The 22734-nt window shown below is 44.0% G+C and overlaps 1 protein-coding gene across 10 annotated transcripts in view, besides 2 other annotated features; it reads right to left on the bottom strand.

Annotated features, from left to right (window-relative positions):
- PSEN1 (presenilin 1) overlaps positions 1 to 22734 on the bottom strand; it is an 87275-nt gene that overhangs the window by 30451 nt on the left and 34090 nt on the right. For all 10 annotated transcript variants that reach the window (XM_047431602.1, XM_047431601.1, XM_047431600.1 and 7 more), the window contains exons 4-7: positions 22194 to 22444; positions 19534 to 19675; positions 6321 to 6388; positions 377 to 597 (exon numbers count right to left, since the gene is read on the bottom strand). In XM_047431602.1, the coding sequence (XP_047287558.1) occupies positions 377 to 597; positions 6321 to 6388; positions 19534 to 19675; positions 22194 to 22444 (682 nt within the window). The remainder of the gene's footprint in view (positions 1 to 376; positions 598 to 6320; positions 6389 to 19533; positions 19676 to 22193; positions 22445 to 22734) is intronic.
- Positions 7481 to 8099: an enhancer, noted in NCBI's record as "H3K27ac-H3K4me1 hESC enhancer chr14:73651850-73652468 (GRCh37/hg19 assembly coordinates)". NCBI's record gives its function as "activates a minimal SCP1, AML or CMV promoter by ChIP-STARR-seq in primed H9 embryonic stem cells {active_cell/tissue: H9 hESC(primed)}" and the evidence as "EXISTENCE:reporter gene assay evidence [ECO:0000049][PMID:30033119]".
- Positions 22137 to 22715: an enhancer, noted in NCBI's record as "NANOG hESC enhancer chr14:73637234-73637812 (GRCh37/hg19 assembly coordinates)". NCBI's record gives its function as "activates a minimal SCP1, AML or CMV promoter by ChIP-STARR-seq in naive H9 embryonic stem cells {active_cell/tissue: H9 hESC(naive)}" and the evidence as "EXISTENCE:reporter gene assay evidence [ECO:0000049][PMID:30033119]".

Genomic DNA, 22734 nt, shown 5'->3' with positions numbered 1-22734 from the left:
CCTCCTGGGCTCAATCGATCCTCCCACCTCAGCCTCCTAAGTAGCTGGAACTACAGGTGTGCACCACCATGCCCGGCTAATTTTTGTATTTTCTGTAGATACGAGGTTTTGCCATGTTGCCCAGGCTGGTCTTGAACTCTGGGCTTAGGTGATCTGCCCGCCTCAGCCTCCCAAAGTGCTAAGATTACAGGCATGAGCTACCATGCCCAGCCGAAATCTTCAAATGAAAAAGTTACTATAGCTAATTAATGATTTACTGAAGAGTTATGGGATGTACACGTTACCATTTTCTCTAAATCAAGATAAAGAGATGAGGAAAGAAAACACTCCAGTGGGGCATTCCTGTGACAAACAAATTATCAGTCTTGGGTTTTACCATATACTGAAATCACAGCCAAGATGAGCCACGCAGTCCATTCAGGGAGGTACTTGATAAACACCAGGGCCATGAGGGCACTAATCATAATGAGATATGCCTGCTGGAGTCGAAGTGGACCTTTCCAGTGAATGGAAATCATTCCCACCACACCAAAATTCCAGATCAGGAGTGCAACAGTAATGTAGTCCACAGCAACGTTATAGGTTTTAAACACTTCCCTGAAAAAAAATTACACAGATTTTAAAAGATGTACAATAATTTTCACCAAAACATTATTTAGAATAATGTGATGGCTCCCAAACATTAGATATTAATATCCCACCTTTATAATTTTACCATAACCTATATCAACTGTGCTATTATTTATTTAATACTTCCCTTTAAATTAATTTACTCTTTTTTTGTTTTTGTTTTTGTTTTTGAGCCAGGGTCTCATTTTGTTGCCCAGGCTGGAGTAAAGTGGTGCAATCACGGCTCACTGCAGTCTTTACCTCCGGAGATCAGGTGGTCTTCCCAGCTCAGCCTCCTAAGTAGCTGGGACAACAGGTGTGTGCCACTATGCCCAGCTAATTTTTCTAATTTTTTTTGTACAGATAGGGTTTCAACATGTTGCCCAGGTTGGTCTAAAACTCCTGGGTTCAAGCAATCCACCCGTCTCAGCCTCCCAAAGTGCTGGGATTACAAGCATGAGCCACGGTGCCTGGCCAATTAATTCACTTTTTTCCCTCAAGTTGAACAATTCACTTTTTTTTTCCCAAGCTGAACTTTTTCTTAATAGGAAGCTCTGTATCATTCATATAAATGGGAAACCAGTTGCACAGGCCATAACTATAAAAATGAGTACGAAGAGGAAAAAAGATCATATCATACCTAAAATGCCATACTATACTTTGGGAAATATTAGTTTAAAACATCTGAAATTAGAAAAAATTAAACATGTGCTAACAAATTTTATAGCTAGGACATAAATTTTCATACAATGAGATTTAGCAGTCATTAAAAATAGATATATGCAGGCTAGGCACAGTGGCTCACACTCTAATCCCAGCAATTTGGGAGGCTGAGGTGAGAGGATCACTTGAGGCCAGGAATTCCAGACGAGCCTGGGCAACACAGTGAGACTCTATCACTACAAAAAAATTTTAAAATTAGCTAAAGTTGATGGCACATGCCTGCAGTCCCAGCTACTCAGGAGGCTGGGGCAGGAAGATAGCTTGAGCCTGGGAGTTAGAGGCTGTGTGAGCTATGATCACACTACTGCACTCCAGCCTGGGCAACACAGCAAGACCCTAAAACTAAAAAAGAAAAGAAAAAAAAAATATATGTACGTATTTTGGAATTTCAAAGTGGGAGATAAATCATTTTTCCAGACAGTATCTGAAACCCAAAGTTTATGCTTAAATAAAGGTGTGCTTTCTTTCACCTTCAAAGCGGGAGAAGAATCATCATACACACACACACACTTATACATACACATATATACAAATACATTTTTTAATACACACATATAAACATGGAGTATAGGCATAACACACTGTTGCTTGAAAAAATATAGGATCCCATTTATGATCCCATTTATGCAAAGTAGTGTGAGAGAAGAGTAGATGAGAAATTGATATATTAATTCCTGAAAGGATGACAGGACTTATCTTTAGGTGGTGGGAATCTGGTCATTTTTCTTCTTTATAATCTTATATAATGTCTTTTTTAAAAAAACAATGAATGTTAAGTATTTTTATAATGAAGAAAATGCTATTTTAATTCTGGGGAGGCAAAATCCACCATCTAACAACAAAGAGATTGCAACTGTAGAAGATGCCTGAGGTAACTGAGGAGAAAGCAAGCACGCCTTTAGGCATAAACTTTCAGTTTCAGGTACCATCCAAAAAGATGATTCCTCTCCCACTTTGAAATTCCAAAATAGAGTAAACATTGAAATTTCTGGACGATGTAGATATTTATATTAAGCATTTCCAGTATCCTCAAACTAAAAAACAAAAACAAAAACAATCTATTTATTAATCTTTGGCCAGGTAACACATGAATAAGATATAAAATTCACAACAGATACTGTGAAAAGTAGGTTTTCTCCCCACTGTGCCCCATGGTTCCCCTCTTTAGAGGAAAGCACTACTTTTTCTTGAGATGGGGTCTTGCTATGTTGCCCAGGCTGGCTATGAACTCCTAGGCTCAAGCAGTCCTCCTGTCTCCACCTCCAAAAATGTTGAGATTACAGGTGTGAGCCACCGTGCCTGATTGGAAAGCACTACTATTAATTTCATGTACATCCTTCCAGAAAGTCTATACATGTCATATATATACTTTTCTACTTGACACAAATGATAGCATATTTTAATTTTTTTTTTTTTTTTTTTTAAATAGAGACAAGGTCTGACTGTCACCCTGGATAGAGGGCACAACCACAGTTCACTGCAGCCCCAAAGTCCTTGGCTCAAGTGATCCTCCTGACTCAGCCTCCCAAGCAGCTGGGGCTACAGGCATGCACCACCACGCCTGGCTAAGTTTTGTATTTTTTGTAGAGATGGAGTTTCAACCATGTTGCCCAGGATGGTCTAGAACCCCTGGGCTCAAAGGATCCTCCCACCTCGGCCTCCCAAATAGGTGAGATTACAAGTGTGAGCCACCACACCCAGCCTTAAAATTCTCAATAGATCTTGCATATTATCTTTTTTACCCCTCTAAGCTGTCAGTTTATTCACTTAAAATATCTATTTCTTCAGAAGCAGGAGCAGGGACTGCTGGACCTCAGTGTCCCCTGCCTTCCTCTGCACAGCCTGCACTAGCAGCTCTGAGTACAATGTACATAAGGAGGGGTAACCTGAGCTGGAGAGGGCCTGGAGCCACATCAGACCCCTCCACCCCGTTGTTGGCCTACAACTGGCTGTGGATCCAAAGGAAGTTAGAGGCCAGCTCAGTCTACACCTGCTACTGCTCAGTGCCCACCCGGTCAAGGGAGACCAACACATGGTAAAGGTCAAGGGCTTCTTGGAAGGCAGTCAGCAGCCTGTGCAAGATGTTCTCCACACTGCTCAGCTTAAGGGGAGCTGGGGGCAGGACCTCAGCTGGCATCTCTGCTTCACCAGTGTCCAGGGCTTGCACAATTCTTGTTTACTCGTAGATATTTAATCTTTTTTGCTGCTATCATAAATGGGACTTATCCTTTTATTATGTTTTCTAACTAGTTGTTTATGTGAAGGTTATTGATTTGTGTTTTCACTTTATTTTTTTGAAATGGAGTTTCACTCTTGTTGCCCAGGTGGGAGTGCAATGGTGCGATCTCGGCTCACAGCAACCTCCATCTCCCAGGTTCACGCCACTCTCCTGCCTCAGCCTCCAGAGTAGCTGGAATTACAGGCACCCACCACCACGCCCGGCTAATTTTTTGTATTTTTAGTAGAGGTGGGTTTTCACCACGTTGGCCAGGCTGGTCTCAAACTCCTAACCTCAGGTGAACCACCCGCCTCGGCCTCCCAAAGTGCTGGGATTACAGGCATGAGCCACGGCACCCAGACAGGGGACTTTTGTTTAATTTTGTAATCAATTAATTGCCTTACCAAACTTACTTAGTAATTTGAATTGGTTTTCAGTTAGTTCTAAAACAAAGTAAACAATCATTTTATCTCCAAATATTGGTAATTTAACCTTCTTTTCCAAATTATATAGTTCGTATTTCTTTCTCCTGTTTAATTGTGTTTGCTAGTCCCTCCAGAGCAATGCTAGATAATTGGTGATAAAGAAAACCTTCATCTCAGCCAGGCACAGTGGCTCACGCCTGTAATCCCAGCATTTTGGGAGGCGGAGGCAGGTGGATCACCTGAGGTCAAGAGTTTGAGAACAGCCTGGCCAACATGGTGAAACCCCTGCTCTACTAAAAATGCAAAAATTAGCCGGGCATAGTGGCAGGTGCCTGTAATCCCAGCTACTTGGGAGGCCTTGATGCAGGAGAATCGCTTGAACCCAGGAGGCAGAAGTTCCTGTGAGCCGAGATCACACCATTGCACTCCAGCCTGGATGACAGAGTGAGACTCTATCTCAGAAAAAACAAAACAAAAAACAAACAAACAAAAGAAAGAAAAGAAAACCTCCATCTCATTCCTGACCTTAATAGGCAAGCTTCTAGCTTCCCTATGAGGATGACATTGGCCTTTAGAATGAGATGCATACATTTTATAATGTTAGAGATTTAGTTATTTATTTATTTTTAGAGACTGAGTCACCCAGCCTGGGGTGCAGTGGTGCAATCATAGCTCACTGCAGCCTTGAATTCCTGGGCTGAAGCCATCCTCCCGCCTTAGTCTCCCATGCAGCTAGAACTACATGCACACACCACAACTGGCTAATTTATTTTTTGTAGAGGCAAAGTCTTGTTATGTTGCGCAGGTTGGTATCCAACTTTCAACCTCAAGCTATCCTCCTACCTTAGCCTCCCAGAGTATTGAGATTATAAACATGAGCCACCACACCCGACCCCGTCTATTTATTAAGGAATCTGATCAAGAACAGGAATCTTATCAAATGCCTTTTAGCACATACAGAGATGATGATCTAGTAATATGGCAACTTATAATGAACGATTCTGCAAACAAACTCCACTTGGTCAAATGTATTATTATGGCAGGGTGCGGTGGCTCAGGCCTGTTAATTCCAGCACTTTGGGAGGCCAAGGCGGGCGGATCACGAGGTCAGGAGATCGAGACCATCCTGGCCAACATGGTGAAACTCTGTCTCTACTAAAAATGCAAAAATTAGCTGGGCATGGTGGTGCGCACCTGTAGTCCCGGTTACTCAGGGGGCTGAGGCAGGAGAATCGCTTGAATCCAGGAGGTGGGGGTTGCAGTGAGCCGAGATCATGCCACTGCACTCCAGCCTGGGCAACAGCGTGAGACTCAAAAAAAAAAAGTATTATTCTTTTCATCTATTGCTGAATTCTCTTAATATTCTGTTATGCTTTTGAAATCAATAAATATAACCGACCAATAGTTTTCTTTTACTTGATAACTTGCAGGGCTTTAGTTATTAATGTTATGCTGGCTTCATAAAATTAATCTGGAAGCTTTTTTTCTTTTTATATGTTCGGAACACTTAGTATTAGAGTTACCATTCCTTAAAGGTTTAACAGAATTTCCCCATTAATCCACTGGGGCCTGGTACTATTGTTATTTGTGCAGGTGGGGTGGAAACTTCTTCAGTAACTTTCTGTACCTCTTCTTTACTCTGTTTAGATATTCTCTCTTTAGGGGTCAGTTTTGATAATTTTTTTTCTAGAATATCATCCATTTCACATAGATTCTCATATTTGCTTCTTCTGTCTGTGGTTATTTCCCTTAATCCTCTACCAAAGAAATAACTCTCCAATTTATTTATTAGTTTGACTGCCTCTTCGAATTTAAGAGCTAGTGCAATTGTTTACAAACTGTATTCTGCCACTTGAGCTGAGAAAAAGGCCAGGCTGGCACATCTCTGAGCTTCACTATTCTCTTTGACAGACTAGATCCACTTTTTTCTATATTATATATGAAAATTTCATATAAGATTTCATTTGAAAGAAAAAAGAGTCACTGATAAAAAACAATATAGAAGTATGAAAATCAATTATTTTGGTTTTTATACATTCTTAAAACCCTTTCTTAAAACATTCTGATGCACAGACTTCTACTAGAAGACTATATAATCTTCAAAAAGGCTTAGAATTAACTGTAGTCTTAAGTTCTTTCAGTTCTACTTATTATAAGCAAGGAGCAACAGAAGAATGTCTCAATTAGTAATACTGACTAGTCTTTTATATACCAAGTATGACCTATATGTGGAAACAATTAAAACTTCAGAGTAATTCATCAACAAAGTACATGGCTTTAAATGATAGCTACACAGCACAAAGGTAGTTAATTCTGAAAGACAGACCAAAAATTTCACAACTTACCCCAAGTAAATGAATGAAAAAAAGAACAGCAACAATAGAGATGATATAATAAGCCAGGCATGGATGACCTAGAAAAGAAAGCATTTCAATATAATTAACAGGTCCCACAACCCTTAAAAAGTACAGATTTTTTTTTTCTTTTTTGAGACAGGGTCTCACTTTGTCGCCCAGACTGGAGTGCAGTGGCACGATCTCAGCTCACCACAACCTCTGCCTCCTGGGTTCAAGCAATTCTCGTGCTTAAGCCTCCTGAGTAGGTGGAACCACGCGTGCGCGCCACCACGCTAGGCTAATTTTTGTATTTTTAGTAGAGACAGGGTTTCGCCATGTTGCCCAGGCTGGTCTCAAATTCCTGACCTCAAGTGATCCGCCCGCCTCAGACTCCCAAAGTGCTGAGATTACAGATGTGCACCACTATGCCCGGCCCACATCTCTCTTTAAAACAACTTTATAAAATAGTACAATTTGGCAAAGGCCAACAGAATGGCTTTACCTAGATATTGGTACTCCTTGGACATTTGAATATTCTTTTTTTTTTTCTGAGACGGAGTTTCGCTCTTGTTGCCCAGAATGGAGTGCAATGGCGCAATCTCGGCTCACCGCAACCTCCGCCTCCAGGGTTCAAGCAATTCTCCTGCCTCAGCCCCCCAAGTAGCTGGGATTACAGACATGTGCCACCACACCTGGCTAATTCTGTATTTTTAGTAGAGACACAGTTTCTCCATGTTGGTCAGGCTGGTCTCGAACTCCCGACCTGAGGTGATCCACCTGCCTTGGCCTCCCAAAGTGCTAGGATTACAGGTTGCCACCGCACCTAGCCAACATTTGAATATTCTAAATTATATCCAGATACAACAAAGTTGTTTCTGGTGTTCTTCCACAAAAATTTTCCAACATTTTGTTACAAAAATGTTCGAACACACAGCAAAATTTAATTAATTTTACAGTGAACACCCATATATCACCTAGAGTCTACCATTCATATTTTGCAGTACTTGGTTTATAAAATTTCTGTCTAGCTCCTCATCCATTAGTCTTTGTTATTATTAATACATATCAAAGTAAACTGAGAGATCGGGCGCAGTGACTCATGCCTGTAATCCCAGCACTTTGGGAGGCCACGGCAGGCGGATCATGAGGCCAGGAGTTCAAGACCAGCCTGGCCAATATGGTGAACCCCATCTCTACTAAAAATACAAAAATTGCTTCCAACCCTTGACTTGGGACTTCTGGCCTCTGGAACTATGAGAAAAGAAATACATCTTAAAAATTGTTTTAAGCGCTCTCCCTCTCCCTCTCCCTCTCTCTCCCCACGGTCTCCCTCTCCCTCTCTTTCCACGGTCTCCCTCTCATGCTGAGCCGAAGCTGGACTGTACTGCTGCCATCTCGGCTCACTGCAACCTCCCTGCCTGATTCTCCTGACTCAGCCTGCCGAGTGCCTGCGATTGCAGACTCACGCCGCCACGCCTGACTGGTTTTGGTGGAGACGGGGTTTCGCTGTGTTGGCCAGGCCGGTCTCCAGCCCCTAACCGCAAGTGATCCACCAGCCTCGGCCTCCCGAGGTGCCGGGATTGCAGACGGAGTCTCGTTCACTCAGTGCTCAATGGTGCCCAGGCTGGAGTGCAGTGGCGTGATCTCGGCTCGCTACAACCTCCACCTCCCAGCCGCCTGCCTTGGCCTCCCAAAGTGCCGAGATTGTAGCCTCTGCCCGGCCGCCACCCCGTCTGGGAAGTGAGGAGCGTCTCTGCCTGGCCGCCCATCATCTGGGATGTGAGGAGCCCCTCTGCCTGGCTGCCCAGTCTGGAAAGTGAGGAGCGTCTCCGCCCGGCCGCCATCCCACCTAGGAAGTGAGGAGCACCTCTGCCCGGCTGCCATCACATCTAGGAAGTGAGGAGCGTCTCTGCCCGGCCGCCCATCGTCTGAGATGTGGGGAGCGCCTCTGCCCCGCCGCCCCGTCTGGGATGTGAGGAGCACCTCTGCCCGGCCGCGACCCCGTCTGGGAGGTGAGGAGCATCTCTGCCCGGCCGCCCCGTCTGAGAAGTGAGGAGCCCCTCCGCCCGGCAGCCGCCCCGTCTGGGAAGTGAGGAGCCCCTCCGCCCGGCAGCCGCCCCGTCTGGGAAGTGAGGAGCGTCTCCGCCCGGCAGCCACCCCGTCCGGGAGGGAGGTGGGGGGGGTCAGCCCCCCGCCAGGCCAGCCGCCCCATCCGGGAGGGAGGTGGGGGGGTCAGCCCCCCGCCCCGCCAGCCGCTCCGTCCGGGAGGGAGGTGGGGGGGTCAGCCCCCCGCCCGGCCAGCCGCCCCGTCCGGGAGGTGAGGGGCGCCTCTGCCCGGCCGCCCCTACTGGGAAGTGAGGAGCCCCTCTGCCAGGCCAGCCGCCCTGTCCGAGAGGGAGGTGGGGGGGTCAGCCCCCCGCCCGGCCAGCCGCCCCGTCCGGGAGGTGAGGGGCGCCTCTGCCCGGCCGCCCCTACTGGGAAGTGAGGAGCCCCTCTGCCAGGCCAGCCGCCCCGTCGGAGAGGGAGGTGGGGGGGTCAGCCCCCCGCCCGGCCAGCCGCCCCGTCCGGGAGGTGAGGGGCGCCTCTGCCCGGCCAGCCGCCCCGTCCGGGAGGGAGGTGGGGGGGTCAGCCCCCCGCCCGGCCAGCCGCCCCGTCCGGGAGGGAGGTGGGGGGGTCAGCCCCCCGCCCGGCCAGCCGCCCCGTCCGGGAGGGAGGTGGGGGGGTCAGCCCCCCGCCCGGCCAGCCGCCCCGTCCGGGAGGGAGGTGGGGGGGTCAGCCCCCCGGCCGGCCAGCCGCCCTGTCCGGGAGGGAGGTGGGGGGGGGTCAGCCCCCCGCCCGGCCAGCCGCCCCGTCTGGGAGGGAGGTGGGGGGATCAGCCCCCCGCCTGGCCAGCCGCCCCGTCCGGGAGGTGAGGGGCGCCTCTGCCCGGCCGCTCCTACTGGGAAGTGAGGAGCCCCTCTGCCCGGCCAGCCGCCCCGTCCGGGAGGGAGGTGGGGGGGTCAGCCCCCCGCCCGGCCAGCCGCCCCGCCCGGGAGGTGAGGGGCACCTCTGCCCGGCCGCCCCTACTGGGAAGTGAGGAGCCCCTCTGCCCGGCCACCACCCCGTCTGGGAGGTGTGCCCAACAGCTCATTGAGAACGGGCCAGGATGACAATGGCGGCTTTGTGGAATAGAAAGGCGGGAAAGGTGGGGAAAAGATTGAGAAATCGGATGGTTGCCGTGTCTGTGTAGAAAGAAGTAGACATGGGAGACTTTTCATTTTGTTCTGTACTAAGAAAACTTCTTCTGCCTTGGGATCCTGTTGATCTGTGACCTTACCCCCAACCCTGTGCTCTCTGAAACATGTGCTGTGTCCACTCAGGGTTGAATGGATTAAGGGCGGTGCAAGATGTGTTTTGTTAAACAGATGCTTGAAGGCAGCATGCTCGTTAAGAGTCATCACCACTCCCTAATCTCAAGTACCCAGGGACACAAACACTGCGGAAGGCCGCAGGGTCCTCTGCCTAGGAAAACCAGAGACCTTTGTTCACTTGTTTATCTACTGACCTTCCCTCCACTATTGTCCTATGACCCTGCCAAATCCCCCTCTGTGAGAAACACCCAAGAATTATCAATAAAAAATAAATTAAAAAAAAAAAATACAAAAATTAGCCAGACATAGTGGCACACACCTGCAGTCCCAGCTATTTGGGAGGCTGAGGCAGGAGAATCACTTCAACCTGAGAGGCGGAGGTTGTGGAGAGCTGAGATCGCACCATTGCACTCCAGCCTGAGCAACAGAGCGAGACTCCATCTCAAAAAAACAAAAAAGGTAAGCTGAGAACATCTGTACATTTCCCTCCAAATACTTCAACTTTAGCCTAAATTTTATCTCACTCTTTAAAACTTGTCTGTCTTGGCCAAGACAAACAATACCAGTGGGAGATGTACACTGGGATTCCATATTAAGCTTTAAATTAAGGACCAGAGTAAATATTAAATAATTGAAATTCTCATCATTCTTGAGAGATGCTTTTCACCTCGGTTTTTTGGCAAAGGAAGAAGGAGATGTTCTTATTTATTTCTTTTTTTAATTTTATTTATTTATTTTTGGGAGATGAAGCCTCACTTTGTCGCCCAGGCTGGAGTGCAGTAGCATGGTCTTGGCTCACTGCAACCTCCACCTCCCAGATTCAAGCAATTCTCCTGCCTTAGCCTCCCGAGTAGCTGGGATTACAGGCACCCACCACCAACGCCCAGGTGATTTTTGTATTAGAGATGAAGTTTCACCATGTTGGCCAAGCTGGTCTTGAACTCCTGATCTCAAGTGATCCACCCTCCTTAGCCTCCCACAGTGCTGGGATTATAGGCGTGAGCCACCATGCCCGGCCTAATTTTAATTTTTTTAACTGTACCTTCTAGGAGCCCCCAAATATTTTTTTTTTAATTATTTTTTGAGATAGGGCCTCACTGTGTTGCCCAGGCTGGGGTACAGTGGCATGATCGTAGCTCACTGCAATCTCGAACCACTGGGCTCAAGCCATACTCCCACCTCAGCCTCCCTAGTACCTAGGACTATAGGCGTGGGTACACCACCATGCCTGGCTAATTTTTTAATTTTTTTTTTTTCTTTTTGTAGAGGTGGGGGTCTCACTCTGTTGCCCAAGCTGGTTTTGAACTCCTGGCTTCAAGTGATCCTCTGGTCTCAGCCATACTGGTGAGAGTCACCGTGCCCAGTCTTGCTTATTTTAAAAATAGCATTTTTCTGAATCAAAAGTAACATATGCTTGTAACACTTAAGAAACACAGAAACACTAAAAGAAGAAAACTATTCTAAAGGCCAGTGACAACCAAAATTAATACCAACATTTCCCTTTCAGGCCAGGCACAGTGGCTCACGCCTGTTATCCCAGCAGTTTGGGAGGCTGAGACAGGTGGATTGCCTGAGGTCAGGAGTTCAAGACCAGCCTGACCAACATGCCAAAACCCCGTCTCTACTAAAAATACGAACATTAGCTAGGCGTGGTGGCAGGTGCCTGTAGTCCCAGCTACCATGGAGGTTGAGGTGGGAGGATTGCTTGAACCCAGGAGGTATAGGGTGCAGTGAGCCGAGACAGTGCCACTACATTCCAGCCTGACTGACAAAGTGAGACATTGTCTCAAAAAAAAATACGAAACAAAATAAAACCGTTTCCCTTTCAGACATGTTTTCTATCTGCACGTATAGGCGTGTGTAAAGACCTTAACAGTGAGAATCAACTAGTGTACTGTTTACATTCTGCTTTCACAAATGTAATCTTTTATTACAAACATATTCTCATGCCACCAAATATTATTTGAAAATATGATTTTTTTTTAAGAGACTGGGGTCTCACTATGTTTCCCAGGCTAGACTGGAAAACCTGGGCTCAAGCAATCATCTCGTCTCAGGGTCCCAAGTAACTGGGTCTACAGGTCCGTGCCACTGCACCTGGCGTGAAACTATGATTGATTGACTGATTGATTGATTGATTTTGAGATGGAGTTTTGCTCTTGTTGCCCAGGCTGGAGGGCAATGGCGCAATCTCACCGCAACCTCCACTCCCCAGATTCAAGCGATTCTCCTGCCTCAGCCTCCTGAGTAGCTGGGATTACAGGCACTCGCCACCACGCCCAGCTAATTTTTTTGTATTTTTAGTAGAGACAGGATTTCTCCATGTTGGTCAGGCTGGTCTCGATCTTCTGACCTCAGGTGATCCGCCCACCTCAGCCTCCTAAAGTGCTGGGATTACATGCGTGAGCCACCACGCCCAGCTGAAACTATGATTTTTAAATGACAAAATAATAGTCTACTCATACGGATAAACCCACAATTGAACCTTTGCCTTATGCATGGAATCTGTATTGTTTTCCCTTTCTTTCCCCAATTTTAATTTACATTAAAATGAACATCCTACTTCACAAATATTTTTCTGCATTTCTAATTCCTTCTTTAGAATATATCATAAAAGCAAAATTACTAAATCAAAGTGTACAAACTTTTTCTAATTACTGATTTAATTAATACACACTGGCTTAGTTACTTGACAAAAAAGACTAATCTTGACAAAGTCAATATGTCAAATATGTTAATTTGTTATTTTCATATGCATTTCTTTTATTACTATGTTATACACACACATTTCAACAGGCCTTTCTCATCTTGCAAAAATCCCTAGTTCAGCTTTCCTGTGCTAAAGGGTATGAAAGAAAACAGCCCTGCTGTTTTATAGTACACAACAGTATCTTCTCTAAACCCTAAACTATCAAGGCCAGAAATCATCTGACTTTAATAAGTTATAGTTCCTTTTATAACAAATTATGTATAATAATTAACTGCCTTTCCTGTTTTTAACATTTTAAGGTTTGGTCTTTTAGTTTCTAGGGCTTGCCACAGACATTGCATAACCAACCACTGATATGAAAAATCCTCAGGGTTTATTTCCAAACAGGCTCTGGCAAGTTACTCAATCTCTGACTCAAAAGATCCTTTTAGTTATACTGGGTGTCAAAGTAAACAACTTGTTTCTATATAATTGTTTGTGTGTGCTAAGACTTGAACATTAAAAAACATCACAACACAAATGAACAAGTAAATGTGGAGATCTGGCTGAATACAAACCTCTTAAACTGTCTAAAATGAAGGATAAGGCTGGGCGTGGTGGCTCAGGCCTGTAGTCCCAGCACTTTGGGAGGCCGAAACCAGTGGATCACCTGAGGTCAGAAGTTCGAGACCAGCCTGGGCAACATGGGGAACCCTCATCTCTACTAAAAATGCAAAAATTACCCAGGCATGGTGGCGTGTCCCAGTAATCCCAACTACTTGGGAGGCTGAGGCAGGAGAATCACTTGAACCCAGGAGGCGGAGGTTGCAGTGAGCCAAGATCATGCCACTACACTCCAGCCTGGGCGAGAGACTGAGACTCCGTCTCAAAAAAAAAAATAAAATAAAATGAAGGATGGATAAAAGATGTACAAATGCGACAAAAAATATATTAAGAAAGGTTCCAGATAAGATGGAGTAAGTACCTTCCACTCTCTCTATCCCACTGAATACAGTTACAAAACCTGGGCAGAAAGCAGGCAGCAGCTGGTTGCAAAAGATGAAAAGTAATGAGAGGTAGGTGGGCTGGGGAATTAGAAGTACTAGCAGTGAGCTGACCACTTTTTTTCCTCCACCTGTGCTCATTACAACATGAGTGGGCATTAGCAAGACAATGGGAGCTCCAGAAGACCTCTAGTTCTGGCTTGAGGATCAGGAAAGAGGTCTCCTAACACCCAGACAGTGTAAAAATCCAGTTTTTCTTCCTTTTTTTTGGAGACAGAGTCTCGCACTGTAGCTCAGGCTGGAGTGCAGTGGCACGATCTTGGCTCACTGCAACCTCTGCCTCCCGGGTTCAAGCAATACTCCTGCCTCAGCCTCCTGAGTAACTGGAACTACAGGTGCCCACCACCATGCCTGGCTAATTTTTTGTATTTTAGTAGAGACAGGTTTTCACTGTGTTGCCCAGGCTGGTCATAAACTCATGAGCTCAGGCAATCTGCCCGCCTTGGCCTCCCAAAGTGTTAGGATTACAGGCGTGAGCCACCACACCCGGCATTCTTTTCCGCTTTTCTCCATTCTCGTATGCCCAGTCCTCACACAATCCTGTGGTGATGGTAATGTGGGTGGCAGAAGCCTAAAATTCAGAGGGAGGGAATCCTTACTCTGACTGGAAGAATGTCAGTCCCGAGAGAGTGGGGCAAATAGCCCTTGCTTTATTTCTCTCTCTCCTCCCACATTTTGGCCCTGACTTTAGGAAGATAAAGTCCACTTTTGGCTGCAGGAATGGAAAAGGGAAGCCCAAGAAACCACATGGAGATCACAGAAAGAAAGAAACTCATGAAAGCAATCTCTTAAAGCTGTTTATAAACTTGTGGGTCCATTCCCAAGGTGAGTGAGTATGGATATGATCCTCAACAGTACACACCGACCCTGACAACCGAATTACAAATAGAACACCACTATACCAGTCCCAGACTGGTGACTGGGTGGCATATACATGGGGCAGATCTGAGCAACACTGCAAAGGCTTTGACAAGGCTGGCTGGACCTAGCCCAATCAGATCAATTGGCCAATAAAACAAAAATATCAAAATCCTTGGAGCATAAAAATGCTCCAAGAAGTAAGGGCAAACACTCTTAAAATGAAAGGAAAGTTTTAAGTTTCAGAATAAAAAAATGTAAAGACGGGCTATATAGGAATTTTAGAACTAAAAATAAAATAACCAAAAACATTTTACTGAATAGGTTTACCAACAAAATGCAAATTTCAGGAAACTTGAAGACAGATCAATAGAAATTATCTAACCAGAACAATAGTGAAAAAAATTGGAAAATAAACAGAGCCTCAGAAACCTGTGGAATAAAAAGTTATTTGTGTTGTCACTCCCAGAAGAGGGTAAAGAGCCAGGCATGGTGGCTCACGTCTGTAATCCCAGCACTTTGGGAGGCTGAGGCAGACGGATCACTTGAGGCCAGGGGTTTAAGACCAGCCTGGCCAACATGGTGAAACCCCATCTCTAATAAAAATACAAAAATTAGCTGGGCATGGTGGCACATCTCTGTAATCCCAGGTACTTGGGAGGCTGAGGCTGCAGTGAGCCAAAATCACATCACTGCACTCCAGCCTGGGTGACAAAGCGAGACTCGGTCTCAAAAAAAAAAAAAAAAAAGGGCCGGGTGTGGTGGCTCACACCTGTAACCCAGCACTTTGGGAGGCCCAGGCAGGCGGAATACTTAAGGCCAGGAGTTCAAGACCAGCCTGGTCAATGTGGTAAAACCCCGTCTCTACTAAAAATTAACAAAATCAGCCAGGCATGGTGGCAGGCACCCGTAATCCCAGCACTTTGGGAGGCTGAGGCAGGAGAATCACTTGAACCGGGAAGGCAGAGGTTGCAGTGCGCCACTCTGTTTCAAAAAAAAAAAGAGTAAAGAATGTGGTACAGAAAAATTTTGAAGAAATAATGGTTGAAAAATTTTCCAAATTTGGTAAAAGACATAAACCTAGAGATTCAAAAAGCTCAGTGAACTCCAAACAGAATGAACAAAGAAATCCTCACACAGTCCCATAATTAAACTGCTGAAAAGAAAAAGAAAATTTTGAAAGTGACCAGAACAAAACAATGTATTACTTTTAGAAGAACAGTGATTCGAATGACTGATTTTTATGAGAAACCATGGAGGCTGAAAGAAAGCAGAAGAGCATTTTTTAAATGCTGAAAAGGGGAATATCAAGACAATTTTCTGCCCAGTAACAATATCCTTCAGTAATAAAGGTAAAATTAAAACATCCTAAGGGGAAGAAAAATTAAAACAAATTGAGGCCAGCTGCCTTGCTCTAAAAGCATTACTAAAGGAAGATGTTCAGACAGAGGGCAAATAATACTAGAAGAAAACGGCTGTCCTGGCATAGCGGCTCACGCCTGTAATCCTAGCACTCTTGCCTAGGTGACAAAGCAAGACTTTATCTCAAAACAAAAACAAAAACAAAAACAAAAACACACACACAAAAAAACCCCAGCAAAGCAGTCCTACTGATGATAATGAAATGGTATGAAGGATAATTCATTTGATTTATATGCTACCAGGTATCTGAGTAGAAGAGATATGCAAAGGAGAAAACAAACCAACCATGGGCCCTTCTGGGCTAAAAATACTACATTAAAAGTTATATTTAAGGATGAAAATTTAAACCATGAGATTAAAATATAATTTCCCAAGAAGTAATGGGAGAGACGAAAAAGTCCATCATCTGAGAGTCATGGCTGGTTAGCTTTAGAAAACTGCAAAAAGGACCAAAGTAGGAAGAAAAGCAAAAGCCAGAATCAGTGTCAAGTGGGAGGCAATAAATAAGTCAAATGGCAATAAGGTCCAGAAAAAATTAGGTTCAAAAAGGTCAGCAGATACGACCAAAGGAAAAACTGGTAACCACATGATACGCAGTTTCCATGGAGGCATGAAAAGAGAACCCACACTTCAGGGAGCTGAGGACTGAATTTGAGAGGAATCTTACGTAATAGCTATGTGTGTCAATCCAGGCCAAACTCTGGACTCAAATGTCCATTCTGACCCATTAGGTTCTGACCCACACTAGCTGTGTGACCCCTGCCTCAGTGCCTCATCCATAAAACTGGGATAATAGTAGGGGTTACCTCAAAGAACTAGTGTTTAATTAAAACAAGGCAGATGTAAAGCTATACTGTCCTGTACATGTCACTGCCCAAGATTGGGAAAACCTTTACATGCTTAAAAGCAGAGAAAAGAAGAGGTAGTTTAGAAATGGTGTTTTCTCTTTTATGTGTGAAAATATGAAAACACAGAAAAATTAAATAATTTCCTAAGATTACTAGAAGAAAGAACTCTGAGTCCAGAGCTCCACCTATCCAACTACACAGGTATTTTGTAAGGGAAAGGCAGGAAATCTGAATGTAAATTCTAGATTATAAGAAAGAAAAAGTAGAATTCCACCCTCCAATAAAATCTGAGAAATAAACAGAAGAACAAAAGTATAATGGGATCCTGGTAAAAGTCACAAGGTCAGCCTACTAAAGCAGGGAAACTAAAGGCAAGTAAACACGTGCAGACAAAAAAAGGGATAAAGAAAAGGAATTAAGAAACTAGCATTTTTAAAGTGGGGGAGGTGAATGCTTCCCAGCATGGGTTTATATCACTTGCTTTTTGGCCTTCTGAGTGTTGGTAACAACCTGTCATCATCACACATACCTGTCATCTTTAATGGTCTCCATACATTACTAATAGATTATACAGATGGCCATCACTTAACACTTCCACTCACTCAAATGTTCAACATGCAAGGTTAAACTCTGTATAAGCTTAAAGTTCACAAGCATTGAAAAGGTATGTGATATTACTAGTAACCAACTAAATGCAAATTAAGACATTTTCTTTACCTATAAAAACCAGCACAGTTTTAAAAAAGAAATTCAGCACTGGTGGGGTACGACAGATACTCTCATTCACTACTGGTGTTAAGTACAAATTGATATAAGCTTTTTGAAAACGAGATTTTGAATACCAAGACAGTTATAAATATGTAGATAATTTGCCCCAAAAATTCTACTTCTAGGATTTTACCCTAAGGAAATAATTTGAAAAACTGAAAAAGCTCTAAGCATAAAGACAGATATTACTGTTTTTTAAAATAGTGAAACACTAGAAACAAATGTCCAACATCAGGGACATTTGAGAAGTAAATTACAAGGCACTTGAATCAAATATCTCATAGCCATAGAAATATTTTCTAAGAATTTATAATAGAAAAAATGTTCACACCAAAGTAAAAGGACACATATTGATTACACATTTTAACCATGTTAGAAAAGTATACAGAAATAAATACTAGAAGGAAACAGAGTAGACTCCTACATTTGGAAAGTTAATTTTTTTTTTTTTTGGTAGAGATAGGTCTTACTATGTTGCTCAGGCTGGTCTCAAACCCCTGACCTCGGCCAGGTATGGTGGCTCACGCCTGTAATCCCAGCCCTTGCGAGGCCGAGGTGGGTGGATCACCTGAGGTCAGGAGTTCTAGACCAGCCTGGCCAACACGGTAAAACCCAGTCTCTACTAAAAATACAAAAATTAGCCGGGTGTGGTGGCAGGCGCCTGTAATCCCAGCTACTCGGGGGGCTGAGGCAGAAGAATCGCTTGAACCCAGGAGGCACAGCTTGCAGTGAGCCAAGATCGCGCTGTCACACTCCAGCCTGCGGGACAAGAGCGAGACTTCGTCTCGGGGAAAAAAACAAAAAAACAAAAAAAACTCCTGACCTCAAGCAATCCTCCTGCCTTGGCCTCCCAAAGTGCTGGGATTACAGGCATGAGCCACCATGCCTGGCCGAACACTTATAATTTCTATTATTTGAAAATGACCTTAAAAGGTGCATGACTTGTGATAATGTGTAATTTTTTCTAAGGTATGAATCTGAAACGTGCTAGTTGGCTGAAACTCAGCAGTAGGTCACTTTGAAACTCAGCAGTAGGTCACTTTGGCAAAAGAGCGAGCTAGGGGAGGAGAGGCTGAGAAGGGTGGGTCTGTATCTTTCCTGTACAACCTCCCAGCGCCCGACTTCCCAAGGAAGGAAGTAGTACAGTGGAGATGGTGAGAGGATGCATGGTGGCTACCAGTTTAGGCAAGGTGTGACCAGTCACCAGTGAGTTTAATACCAGCATCTGAAGATGGCTTTATTGTTCTGTACTCCAATATAAAAATCTGATTTTAGTTATACCGTATTTTATAGGGACCATTATATCCTACAGTGTTATTTGTGAATGAGGAGATTCATAAAGGTCTTAGAGTATATTTCTTCAGTATACTGTCAATCAAAATATTAAAACCACTTAGGGCCGGGCGCAGTGGCTCATGCCTGTAATCCCAGCACTTTGGGAGACCAAGGTGGGCAGATCACTTGAGGCCAGGAGTTCGAGACCAGTGTGGTCAACATGGTGAAACCCTGTCTCTACTAAAAATACAAAAATTAGCCGAGTGTGGTGGCACACACCTGTAATCCCAGCTATTTGGGAGGCAGAGGCAGGAGAATCGCTTGAAACTGGTGGGTTGAGTCTGCAGTGAGCCAAAATCGTGCCACTGCACTTCACTCCAGCCTGGGTGACAGGGCAAGGCCCTGCTTCAACAAACAAACAAACAAACAAAAACCCACTTAGATTGTGCTATTATATGGAAATGTTTATTTTTCAGTTACAACTTTTTTTGTTTTCTGCTTTTATTTTTTGAGACAATGGCCTAAAAAGGCATTGAAATCCAAAATAACATAAATTATCACTAAATCTTGATAACTAATCATAATATATATATTTTACACTAATTTTTTCATGACATATAGATTCCATGCATATAAAATACTTCCAATATTTGTTTTTTGTTTTCTTTAATAGAGGCAGGGTCTTGCTACGTTGCCCAAGCTGCTTGTGAACTCCTGGGCCCAAGTGATCCTCCTGCCTCAGCCTCTGAGCCTGGCATTACACATGCACCTGGCTTCCTTTTTGTATTTTTTGAATGTTCCACAGTGAGGAGGAAGAAAACTAAAAATTAACTTATCTCTAGAAGACAAAACATTTTTTCTTTCCTAGATCAGTTAAGTTACTGTGACAAGAATACCCAACCATAAGAAGAACAGGGTGGAAAGCAAAGATCTGTGTCTCATGCTCACCTTATAGCACCTGTATTTATACAGAACCACCAGGAGGATAGTCATGACAACAATGACACTGATCATGATGGCAGCATTCAGAATTGAGTGCAGGGCTCTCTGGCCCACAGTCTCGGTATCTTCTGTGAATGGGGTATAGATTCTACAATAAAACAAACACAAAAGCCCTAGGTCAGTGTTAATGGAGATCACCAACCACATTACCACCTCCAACACAGAATTTTCTTTTTCTTAATTCAATTCGTATCTTATAAGTCACTTTTCCCCAACTCACCAATCTAGCTAAGAATTTTTAACCTGAGAAAAACAGCTACACTCTAAAATTGCTTCAAAGAAAATGTCTAACATATGGAAAGAAGGACTTAACATGTGAAGCAGACACTGGCTCCATCTAGTGGGTGCTTTATATTGAAATAATTATAATACCTCATCAAATTTTTTTGGCTACAGCTTATTAGGAACTTGTTATAGAACCAGATTCTGCCACAGAAACCACGTGGGCTGACAAGTGGTTGTCAGAAGAAAGGTAATATGGCTTATAATTAGTGCCTCTCATCTGCAGAGTAATTGCAACTGGAGTTGTCTTAAGATAATGTCACATATCCATCTTCCCCTTGTTTCTCATTCACAGAAAAACATTTTTATTCCAGGTGCCAATATTCCCAGCCAAAAAGACTTTACTTCTGACTCCCTTATATTTAGGATGGCTATGAGAACAAGTAAGGGCAATGACTTCTAGGGAGATGTGTTGTGTATGGAACTTCTAAGGAGAGAATTCTGCTGACATGTCCTATGTTCTTTTCTCCCCTACTCCTTCCTACTGTCAGAATGAAGGCTAGGGCTCCAGCCTGGACCCTGAAGTAAGCTAGAGGTTAGAAGCTAAAGAAGAAAGAAGGAGATTGAGTCCTTGATGAACGTGAAGCCACCGTACTAATCTGGACTGCCTACCTCTGCACTACTCTATGAGAGAGAAAGTATGTGCATTATTTAAACCAGTTGTTTTGATTTTCTATTAACAAAGTCAGAAACATCTCTGTAAAAAGCCAGACTGAATATTTTAAGCTCTATGGGTCATATGGTCTCCAGTGCAAACACTCAACTGTGCTACTGTAGTGTGAAAGCAGCCACAGACAATGTATAAACCAAGGAGCGTGGTCACTTTCCAATGAAAGTTTATTCACAAATTTGTGAATAACTTTGTTATTACACCTTTGTGGAAAGGTAGCAGACAGATCTGGCCTGTGGCTGTAGCTTGCCAATGTTTGTTCTATAATACGTTGCCAAACCTAACCCTAACCTATATGGATAATATTCTTCAATCCCTCTAGTTCTAACCCCTGCCCTTCACCTGCTGTCTTAGATGCTCTCCCAAAAGGCTAAAAGTTTGGCTTTCAGAACACCATGTAGTTTTTCAGACACTTCACAACTTCAAATTCTAAAACTCAATTAAAACTCTTCTTTGGACCCCATGAGAGTCGTAGAGATGGAACTAGATGACATTTGAATCAAGCATTTTTCTTGGAGGCCAAGGGCTGACATCAGCAGCACCAGGGAACCCACATGATAGCCCCCCAGGAGTCTAGAGAGTGCTGGCTTGAATTAGTTGTTCATCCTTTCAATTAACAATTCGTTTGGCCATTTATTATACACCTCACCCTGGAGACTCAGTACCCTCACAGGCCTTGCAATAAAGAAGGAAATTAGGCATTAAATAAACAATGTAAATAAATATATATTTGCAAATTGTGACAAGTGAGAAAGGACAAGTTGCTATGAGAAAAGATACCAAGAAGGACTTAATCGTGTTAGGAGAAACAGGAATGTTATCTTTGAGGATTTAACATTTAAGCCAATGTTAGATGTGAGTTCTAAATTTCAAAGAATTAATACGCCAGTATGTTCAATTCTTTGCCTTCTACTTTTAAACTTAACTTCCTCGTAAAGCAATGTTTTTCCATTACCTGCTCCACCCTCATTCCAGTTACCTGCTACCTGCTCTTCCCTGACTCCTGCCAAAGCACTCACCCCATCATTCTCTTTAAATTAGCCAATTGGAATTAGTTTAGCCTGTGCAGTCTAACCCTAGTCAGTAGGGGAAGAACACAGCAGCAGGGACCACGTGTGTCAGGGATAAGAACCCTTTCCCCTCCCTTGTCCAAATGTGCGCTTGCCATTGTTCCATCTGTAAGGGTGCACCCTTCTATATAGAAGTAACTTGCCTTGCTGAGAATTAAAAGGAAAATTTTATATTCGAGTGCTACTTCTTTTGCGGCACCAAAACTTTATATATAACACCAAGAGGAGGGGGATGACAGGAATTTAATCCACCAAAGTTAGAAAAGGAAAGAATATTCTAGGCAGAAGAGCAATGGGCGCCCAATGGCCCTGAGGTGGAAAAGAATTTATGTGTTCAATTCAGCATAACTTCAGCCCTATCCAGTAATACCATACAGGAAACATACTTCTGCAGTGTTCCTTTTCTCCACTTAAAACATGAAGTAATAACCCCTCGCTCTCTCAACTGCTCCTGACCATCACAGAGGATGGGCTCTCCAGCTAAGTCATGCCCCTTCAATGCAGAGGCCTTCAAGGTGATGATGACATGCTGTAAAGAAAAGCCACACTGGCTTTGAGAATAATAAAACAAAACTCATACGTACAGCTGCCCATCCTTCCGGGTATAAAAGCTGACTGACTTAATGGTAGCCACGACCACCACCATGCAGAGAGTCACAGGGACAAAGAGCATGATCACATGCTTGGCGCCATATTTCAATGTCAGCTCCTCATCTTCTTCCTCATCTTGCTCCACCACCTGCCGGGAGTTACCCTGGGGTCGTCCATTAGATAATGGCTCAGGGTGGCCAAGGCTCCGTCTGTCGTTGTGCTCCTGCCGTTCTCTATTGTCATTCTATAAGCACAAGAAAAACATTTTCAGTAAATCAGATTCTCAGCAGAATCAAGGTAACGGTTAGACCTGGGATTAACAACAGACCCGTCACTATGAGTTCTAAAAACCTGAAGCAAGAAAAAACAATGTACAGGAAGTATGCAGTTTAAAAGTCTAGATTATCTATCATTGTTCACTGAAGGCATTCAGGTCCTCTCTTTTACCTGGGTCTTGGCTTGCTCCATTCTCTCTGTTCATCCCAACATACACAATTGTACTTATCCTTTGAGATGTACCTTAAATACTGACAC

The sequence above is a fragment of the Homo sapiens genome, chromosome 14 (genome assembly GCF_000001405.40).
Source record: "Homo sapiens chromosome 14, GRCh38.p14 Primary Assembly".
Lineage (NCBI taxonomy): Eukaryota > Metazoa > Chordata > Mammalia > Primates > Hominidae > Homo > Homo sapiens.
Note: the sequence above shows the minus strand (reverse complement) of the source record. Positions and strands in the feature narration are given on the sequence as shown.